This window comes from Homo sapiens, chromosome 6 (assembly GCF_000001405.40).
Source record: "Homo sapiens chromosome 6, GRCh38.p14 Primary Assembly".
NCBI classification, from domain to species: domain Eukaryota; kingdom Metazoa; phylum Chordata; class Mammalia; order Primates; family Hominidae; genus Homo; species Homo sapiens.
In genome coordinates, this window is record NC_000006.12 from 51,424,234 (window position 1) to 51,434,761 (window position 10,528).

A 10,528-nucleotide genomic window follows, 5' to 3' on the forward strand; every position below is an offset into this window, starting at 1 on the left:
TGACTTAGGCAAAGACTTTATGACCAAGAACCCAAAAGCAAATGCAACAAAACAAAGATAAATAGATGAGACCTAATTAAACTAAAAAGCTTCTGCACAGCAAAAAAACAAGCAGGGGAGTAAACAGACAACCCAGAGTGTGGGAGAAAATCTTCACAATCTATATGTCTGACAAAGGACTAATATCCAGAATCTACAAGGAACTCAAACAAATCAGGAAGAAAAAACAAACAATCCTTTCAAAAAGTGGGCTAAAGACATGAATAGACAATTCTCAAAACAAGATATACAAATGGCCAAAGGCATAAGAAAAAATGTTCAACATCACTAATTATCGGGGAAGTATAAATCAAAACCACAATGCAACACCACCTCACTCCTACAAGAATGGCCATAATCAAAATATCAAAAAATAATAGATGGTGGCATGGATGTGGTGAAAAGGGAACACTTTTTCACTGCTGATAGGAATGTAAACTAGTACAACCACCATGGAAAACAGTGTGGAGATTCCTTAAAGAACTAACACTTTGGCCCAGAAATAACACTACTAGGTATCTACCCAGAGGGAAAGAAGGCATTATATAAAAAAGATACTTGCACACACGTTTAGAGCAGTACAATTTGCAATTGCAAAAATATGAAATCAGCCCAAATGCCCATCATTCAACTAGTGGATAAAGAAAATGTGGTATATATACCATGGAATACTACTCAGCCATAAAAAGAAATGAAATAATGACATTTGTAGCAACCTGGATGGAATTGGAGACTATTATTCTAAGTGAAGTAACTCAGGAATGAAAAACCAAACACCATATGCTCTCAGTCATGTGTGGGAGCTAAGCTCTGAGGACACAAAGGCATAAAAATGATACATTGGACTTTTGGGACTTGGGGGAAAGGGTGAGGGATGGTGAGGAATAAAAGGCTGCACATTGGGTAGAGTATACACTGCTTGGGTGATGAGTGCACCAAAATATGAGAAATCACCACTAAAGAACTTATTCATGTAACCAAACACCACCTGTTCCTCCAAAACCAAAATAGGAAATAAAATAATTTTAAAAATTATTTTAAAGAGGATGATGATGATGATGATGAAGATGAAGATGATGATAATGGAGAAGAAGGAGGAGGTGTTTGCTGCAGTAACTAGTTGGAGAAGGGCTCTTTGACAAGTGGCTGCCCTGAGATTCTCATAACACATGGGAAAGCATATAGGTGACCTGTATATATTTGGCTCACTCCAAAGCTCAACTTGGTCCACAGGTACACAAAGTTATACTTTGGCCACTGCAGATCAGCTAATTTTTTTTCCTCTTGAAGCCAAGGCAATAAACTATATTTTTTCTTATTGTAAATGTTGAGCACTCCTCATTATTGAGTAGTTCAAGCATCACCTATCTGGCTGACATTAAAACCTAAATTCATGCATTTTTTTTAAGTTCTGAGTGTTTGTAAAAAGAATTTCCCAACCAAAGTATTTACATTTATTGCAAGTAATTTTTGTTTAATATTTTTAAGAAGTAGGCCAATCTGGCAATATAGTGATTTAGTTTTACAGTTAATTAAAAGAGAAAAGCCTCCTTCTGCCTAAATGATCTGTGGAAACCAATAAAAGTCACTTTGGGGCCTGGATAATTATCTCAACCCTTTTAACTCTGCTGTTCTAGGCTCATAGTAGACGCTCAATGGAAACTTGTTGATTGATCTGCCTTTGACTATGAAGACTTGACCCAATAATTCTGAAGGCCAAATGCCCTGGGCACTCAGGAAAAATATGTTTGTTTACTGCTGCTCATGTCAGAGTCATAAAACCCTATAGAGAGTAAAAATTTCTATAGTCATTAGAAAAATAAAATAAGGTAACACAAAATGATGGGAAAATACATGATACTTTCTTTAGTAACAATTTATGTTGTCCTACAAGTCAATGAATCAAAAGTTATCTCTTACATCTTAACCCAAACCAAAGGTAATATTATTATCATTCTCTGATTGGTAAATTTAAGTTTTAACAATTTTTTCTCCATTGAAAAGGTAGAAAGCAGTGAGTTTTCATATTTTTGTCTGTATGCTAGATTCAGCAACATTGAAATTCAGGATGATTCTTTATGCTTTGGTTTTTAAAGATGTAAAGAAAAGGTGATATCTATCTTGAATTAAATTAGAGGATACGTGTAAGGATCTGTACTCTCTCTGCAGAGGTCTAGTGGTGCATGAAGTGATTCCCTTGGAGCATTCATTTTGGACACTGGACTTCAACTGACTCCTAAGATAGTATAAATGGATATGAAGACTTATATTCAGTTTCTGAAAAAAATTTAATAGAAATAATCATATCTTATTTTTAGTGCAATTTTAAGGCATCATTTACATAAAATAAAGTGCACAGATTTTAAGTGCTCAACTTGGTGGGTATTGACATTTAATATATAGCATTTCCATTAGCCTAGAAAGTTCTTTATGCCCCTTTCCAGTCAATTCTTAACCATTTGGAGGCAACCATATTTTAGTTTCTATTACCACAGGTTATTTTGCCTGTTCTTGAACTTCATGTAAATAGAATTGTACAGCATTGATACCTTACTTCTGGCCATAAAATTACAAAGCACTTTTAATTTTATTATTTCATTAGATTTTTTTTAATTTCCAATTTTTATTTTAAGTTCAGGGGTACACGTGCAGTATGTGCAGGTTTGTTACACAGGTAAACATGTGCCATGGTAGTTTGCTGCACAGATCATCCCATTAACCAGGCATTAAGCCCAGTATCCATCAGCTATTCTTCCTGATTCTCCCCCTCCTCCTCCCACCCCTGCCCTCTGACAGGGCCCAGTGTGTGTTGTTTTCCCCCATGTGTTCATGTCTTCTCATCATTTAGCTCCAACTTGTGAGTGAGAACATGTATTTGGTTTTCTGTTCCTGCATTAGTTTGCTAAAGATAATGGCCTCCAGCTCCATCCATGTCCAAAGGACATGATCTCATTCCTTTTTATGACTGAATAGTATTCCATGGTGTATATGTACCACATTTTCTTTATCTAGTCTATCACTGATGGGCATTTAGATTGACTCCATGTATTTGCTATTGTGAATAGTGCTGCAGTGAACACATGCACACATGTGTCTTTATAATAGAAATATTTATATTCCTTTGTGTCTATGCCCAGAGCAAAAATCCTCAACAAAATACTGGCAAACTAAATCAAGCAGCACATCAAAAAACTTATCCACCATGATCAAGTAGGCTTCATCCCCGAGATGCAAGGCTGGTTCAACATACGCAAATCAATACATGTGATTCATCACATACACAGAACTAAAGACCACATGATTATCTCAATAGATGCAGAAAATGCCTTTGATAAAATTCATCATCTCTTTATTTAAAAACTTTTAATAGACTATATATTAAAGGAACATACCTCAAGATAATAAAAGCCATATATGACCAACCCACAGCCAATAGCATACTGAATGGGCAAAAGCTGAAAGCATTCCCCTTGAAAACCGGAACAAGACAAAGTGGCCCTCTCTCACCACCCCTATTCAACATAGTATTGGAAGTTCTGGCCAGGGCAATCAGGCAAGAGAAAGAAAGAAATGGTATTCAAATAGGAAGAGAGGAAATCAAACTATCTTCTTTGCAGATGGCATGATCCTGTATCTACAAAACCCCATCGTCTCAGTCCAAAAGCTTCTTAAGTTGATAAGCAACTTCAGCAAAGTCTCAGGATACAAAATCAATGTGCAAAAATTGATAGCATTCCTGTACATTATTAGATTCTTATGTCAACAGATAGCGCTAAAGGTACCAAGATACTAATTTTTACAGACGGGGCCGCTGAAACTCATTGAGTTTTCATGACTTGCTTAAAGTCATAGTAGAAGACTTCAGAGGCAGAATCAAACTTGGGTGTTCTGATTCCAGGTTCAGCACTCCTGTTGAATTCTACTGGATTCTGGAAAGATATTTGGACTCATTATCATAACAGAACAATGATAATAATACTTGAGTCTGAATTTCAATTTTGCTCTTCTTTATGGATGTGATTTTTGGTAAGTTATTTTGTTCATTTCAGTTACTTCCTCTATAAAACGAGAATAGTGATATTCTCATTCCTGGACCTGACATATTCTTGTTTGTACTCTAAGTCTTTCATTTCTTCATGATTTCTGCTAAAGACCCTGTAAATCCTCTAGTCAGCAAGCAGTTATAAAATAAATATTCAGGCTATTACACACTTGGTTTAAGTCTTTTGATCATGTGTTGTTTCCATTTTTCTCTCTCTACAAAATCAGGAGCTCCATGAAAACTGAGTCCATTTCTTGCTCACTTCCATTTATCAACTGACTAGAAAAATATCTGGCCCAGAAGTGATGGTCATTATGAGTTCACTGAACCTGTAACAAGTAACGAGACATAAGGGCAGGCAAAGCTCTTTTGTCTCTACCTACCTACCTGAGTGGTTCTTGCCAGATGGAAGTTGCACATCTATGGCTCTTGTAAATATGATGACGCCATCCTGGGAAAAATTTGTGGGTTCTAATAAGAAGGCATAAAAAATTAGATGAGATAATTTCCATGGTCATGTTAAAAGTGTTAAATTATACCAACCTACAAATAATCACATTTGTAAGTTGCATAAAATGCAAATCAGTTTAGGAGCAGAGAGTCAACCTACCTCTTAGAGATGGATGCCTGTAGGGCCAATGGAAGGACCACTTTGCCTACTGCTACACTTCCTCAGGTGGCCTCCTACTAATTCCCCAACTCTGCTTTTTGCCAGCTACCTATTGTTAACTGCAGTGCTGTGGTGGTATTAAGGGAAACAATAATGTCTGTTAATGCTGTCAACACCTTGGCAATATCTGCCTTTCTTCAATTACTTTTGTTTACAAATTGCTCCTAATTTTGTTCTTAAAGCTAGTTAAGAACAAGTGCTGCTAGGATTGATGGGAAGCTAACTGCATGATTAAGTAATTACGGTTTTAAAGCTTGCCTTACACTAGGACTAATGATATGTCACCCAGTAGCAGAAACCCCAGATAATGAATGAGAAATGTTTATATGTTCTTAGTTGCTTTTAAATCTCCCTTCACGCTAGAGCTGATGCTATGCATGGGTACTGGGATGAAGAAAAGCAGTGACAGCTCAGCCTCCCCAGCCATTATGTGGAACTGCAAACTCCCATGAAGGCCTCTTTTCTGCTCCAGCCGACGCTTTATTTTTTGTAGGGTTGATTGTTCAGTTGGTCCACTGATGAAAATGCTACAACGTTTTGTTGAATAAAGAGCTGAATTAATTTAAATAGTAGGTGATTGTCCTTTCACTGCAGGGACCAGATTTAGAGTTGATCTTTTGCGTATATAGAATAGGATTAGAGTCAGGGCTGAAGGGTTCCTGTCACCCCTCCTCCACCTGTGGACTCTTGTGTGCGTATTAGGGGAGGTGGATGTTGGAGGAGAAAGACACAAGGGATGGGAGAATGAGGAAAGGAGGTCCTTCATACTGACATCCGAAGATTCTTAGATCATTTTTAGGGGTACATGACCTCTAAAGAGTAGAGAGAGGCATCAACTCTTTTTGGGGGCTGTAATCCTGGAGGTGGAGTTAGAACTCATTACCCTCTACTCATTGTAATATTTCCTCAACTATGAAATAAGTTTTCCAATTGCACAGCAGTTTTTTTTTCTAGGTAAAAAAAGTGGGAACATAATTTTTTATGTGTGTATATGTATAAAATTACTATGTTTAAATATATTTCATATATAATTTTATGTATAAATTTTATATGCATATGCATTTACATATAATTTATATTCACATTTTATTGAATATCTATTTATATATATGTATATATAGCAATACCTGCAGATGAAAAGCATAGCACAATAAATACAAGTTCCTATATGTGTAAATTTATTATAATGAATGTTTATATATTTATATTACACATAAATTCATCAGTATATGATATGTGTAAATGCATACTATACCCACATAGACACATATTTACATATTACATATCTATACACACATTCTCAGAAGATATATACTTTAGCAATAATGTTAGAAAATGCATGAGCTAATGGGTGTGTTCTAATGTGATGTTTTCATCTATTCGCTTATACAGAATGTGGAGAGTAAAACAATTCTGGGTGTAAAAGTAGGTTCACATTGGCCAGTTGCTTATTTTACTTAAACTCTAGCAGATTTTCTTCTGATAAAATTTGGATTATAAATATCAATCACATGAAGTTGCTGTGAGGAGTAAATGGGATTTATATGGAATTTATCCAACGGTTCTGCACGTAGTAGGCACTCAATAAATAATTTTCTTGCCTAAGAACTGTAATTTTACTCAAAAGTTGAGTAATAGTGACCCCTGAGAGAAGCAACAGACAATACAATTTTCTCTGCTTGTGAAATTCAAACTAGTTATCTCTTACTGCTGAATAATAATGGCTGTAATAGACTGAGGAGATTTCCATTTAAATAAGTGGATGATTTTAGCTGACTCTGGAAATGTAAATGTACCCTAATTAATGAATGCCTTAATCGTTCTTCCTGTTTCTTCTTTATAGACACATTGTTTCCTGCCTAGGGGTGAATACATTTGGTGTACATACATTCAGATATGAATATACATACGCATATACATTTTCAATGTACCAGCTTTAATGGAGAAGAACAAAGGATATTCATTAGTTAGAGCTACAAAAATCTCTTCAAGGACTTCCATTTGCATCAGAATAAAGTCTATCTTTCTTAGTCTGGCATTCAAGGCCTTCTGAATCTGACTTCAACTATGTTTCACGAGATATTTCATCTTCCCTGGCAACTGGCTGTCTTTTGAATTTCCAGCAGACTTATTCTTTCTATCAATAATATGACATTTATGGCTCTATTTAAAAGACTTTTGATGCCTCACTTCCCAGAACAAAGAAACTAGGTTTTGAATTTAACTGATGAATACTTTCCATTACTTAAAAATATATATTTTTTAGCATATAATATTACAGGTTTAAGTTAGAAAAATTTTAATATATAACACACTAGGAAAAAATTACCTTTGATCCTATTACAAAAAGATAAAACTTATAACATCATAAAAAGATATTAGTTAAGTTCCTTAGAAGATTTTTTCATGTTTTAAAAAAATAGAACCCTATCAGATTATTTATATACATATTCCATGTCAATTTTTGAAAATTTAGAATTCTGTTAGGCATATATATTTTATATCATGCATTTTCAGTAATATTTTATAGGTGTTTTCACAATTTTATGATACATTATTTTATGAAACATTATTTATGAAACATTTTTAATAACATGTTAATAATGCTCCTATGAAAGAGTACTATAGTTAATTTACCACATCCATTTATTGTTGGTAATGTATGTTATTGTACTCGTATTCCTCTAACCAATACTGATGAAAGAAATTGCTTTTATTCCCAAATCTTCATTTCATGTCTGGTTCTACTCTCAGAATATACATTCTTTAAGTTGCATCATTATCGTCAAAAAATATAAATTTTTAAACACGTATAACTAAATCATTTTCCAGAACAATTCTATTCACTTACACCCTTCGCCAAACAATATTGAGTATCTCTCTCACTGCCTCTCAAAATATCGCATGGCCTTACTTTTTAAAAACATTTTTGGCACATAACTCAGTACAAATTTTCATATCTATGTTTACTACAAATATAAAATATTTTCAAATTGTAAACTTTTCCATTCTGGAAAAGAAATCTGGGATCAACCTTGTTTCTTTAAAATTAGCTTTTTTTTCCCCTCATCTGGTACTTGACTTTTAAGAAATTTATTCCAGAAAATTGAAAGTTTGCATAAAATATATCTAGATATTGGTCTCTTTTACTTCTCTCTTGTTGCTTTTCTTGAACATGTTCAGTGATTTCACTGTGCAGATTATAATTCTGGGGAGGTTAATATATCCACTGATGTTTCAAAAAATAGCCTGCAGTTCTTTTGCTAGAGAGGCAGGTTGTTCTTCCTGCCTCTACCCATCTAATTCAGGATGAACATTCCAGGATGCCGGATATGAGTATTCACTACTTGTCACTCCTGGCCACTGCATATTTGATGTCATCGTCTCTCAGAGGGACACCACAACAGAGGTCCTGATGGAATTGAAAACAGGGAACTTATGGAGGGAGTAGACACATCTGAGCACCTGAATCACTGGGGTCAAACCTAGAGTAAATAATTCATGATACATCCCAATTTTTTGATATAAGAGAATTTGGGGGTGGAGGCATTACAGAGGGGAGTGACTGAATTTGTTTATTCTCTCTCTCTTTTTTTTTTTTTAACAATTTTTTACTAGTTTTGCTTAGTTGCTTTGTTTTGTGGGTCTTGACACGAGTTGGTGACTAAGATTTCCTGATTCATCCACCCACGCTGTCCTACAGTTGAGGGCGATTCTTCCATGAAATTGACAAAGTTTTCAACTAACAGACCTTAGTTTTCAGGTCTGTTGAAACATTGCATGTTTTTCTGTTCTCCTGACTAGATGAAAATGAATCAAGCACATATTTCTAATTGCACATCATGCTCTGGGTGTATTTTAAATAGAGACACTTACATGACTGGCAAATAACATCTCAATGACAGTTATAATTCTCAACCCTAGTCATTGGTCCTCACAACCAAGAAATGATATGACCGTTCTTTCTAGGACAAACAGCCTTTTTCAAAATTTGCTTTTTTCTTTTTTTAATTAAAAAATATAACCAGAAATTATAACTCGTTGAGTTGCTATTTAATGGATTGGTAAAAAAATAATTTTTGAGTTATAATTTTTCTCTCAATTCCTAACACATTAATACCTAATTTTACCTTCATGTCCTAGTAGCAGTTACTACCAGGCAAGTTACTTAATGTGGCAAGTTACTTAAGGCAACAGTTACAGTGATATAATTTGAAGTTTCTTAACCCAACCATACCTTGTGTACATAAATTTTCTCTCCTATCCCGTCGGGCCACATAGAAAGAAGATGTAAAGATTAGTTTTCATATTCGTATCCTAATATGTTCACAGCTACTCAAGGGTAGATATCTACATTGTGGAATTCTGTGGGTCATCTTCAAACAATGAAAACTCTTATCAATCCATCTATAATCTTTCATCATCTAGCAAGGTATTAATCTACCATCTATCATGTCTGTCTCATCTACCTATCTGTATTTATAACGTTTTCTCTGCATTATTTTTAGTCTACATTACAGATAATGTTTCAAATGTAAATAACCCTAAGAACAAATACAGGTTGACAAAGTTAGGCTCAGAAAATGATATCTCTTGGATCCTTTTGAGGATACAGGTTTTGATGTGGGGATGGGAAACAGGGGAGTAGGAGAGCAGAGGATCAGCTCACTTTGGTTTCTGTCATAATCTCCATGCACCCTCCCCAACACATTCCCATGCCTGAGTTAGAATGCAAAAGAGTGTGGAAATTACTGCCTCAGCTAAAATGAAAATAAGGAAGTACCTACCTTTTCTACCACCTGTGGATCTGCATCGCTGCCACATAAAAAGGGCAGCACATTTGTATTATTGAATAAATGGTTTTGGTGCACTTTTCCTCTCAACCCTTTAAGACTCAAAGTTCAGTTAGGGCTAGGGTCAAGCTATTAATAATACTTGTTTGTCTGGGGTTAACAATGAGCATTAACTTCTAGTTCACAGAAGTGAGGAGGGTGAGGAAGGGGATGAAACATGTCCCCAGAACCAAGTGACTTGCTGGGTTGGGTGAGCCAAGCTAATTCTTTTAACTTTGCTTAGATTCATGTGCCAACAAAGTTTAAAAATATAGTAATGAGGTAATAAAATAAGAAGAGGCTTGAGCTCCTTGGGCAATGGAGGTTCATTATGTTATTATGATTAGAGAATTATGCCCATTAAATATGAAATAAATAAAATAAAATATGAAAATCTAAGAAGGAAAGAAAATTATGCCCATTTTCCAGGACATTTATTTTTCATTTTTAATCATCTGACACTGTGGTTCTCAACCATTGCTGCATATCGTGATCACCTGGAGGAGCTCGGAAGGCATGCCAATGCCTGAGTCTCATCCCAGGGCAATGAAATCAGAGCCCCCTGGGGCCATGTCATCAATGCTCAGGTGATTCTAATGTGAAGTCAGGGATCAGAAGCACTGTTCTAATGGCACATGAAGCCAGTTTTTGTGTGGCACAGATTAACTTGGGGTGGCAATGGCCGGGGATGGAGTAGTTTTCCTACTACATGATTAACTCTGCTAGCTGGCTCTGGTTCTTAGTACAAAGGACATGTTTAAACTGAAGTCAAGTAAAGTTAATGCCAGTCGCCTGTCATTTCTCTGTCCATTATAAGTGACATATCTGCACCCGGTGTTTTAATCCCAAACATGTCACTGTTTTCATGTCATCATTCCATTCCATGTTGCAGAGATCACTCTTGTCAGTTCCCATTCATCTGGAAGGGTCAGGCCCACACTTAAA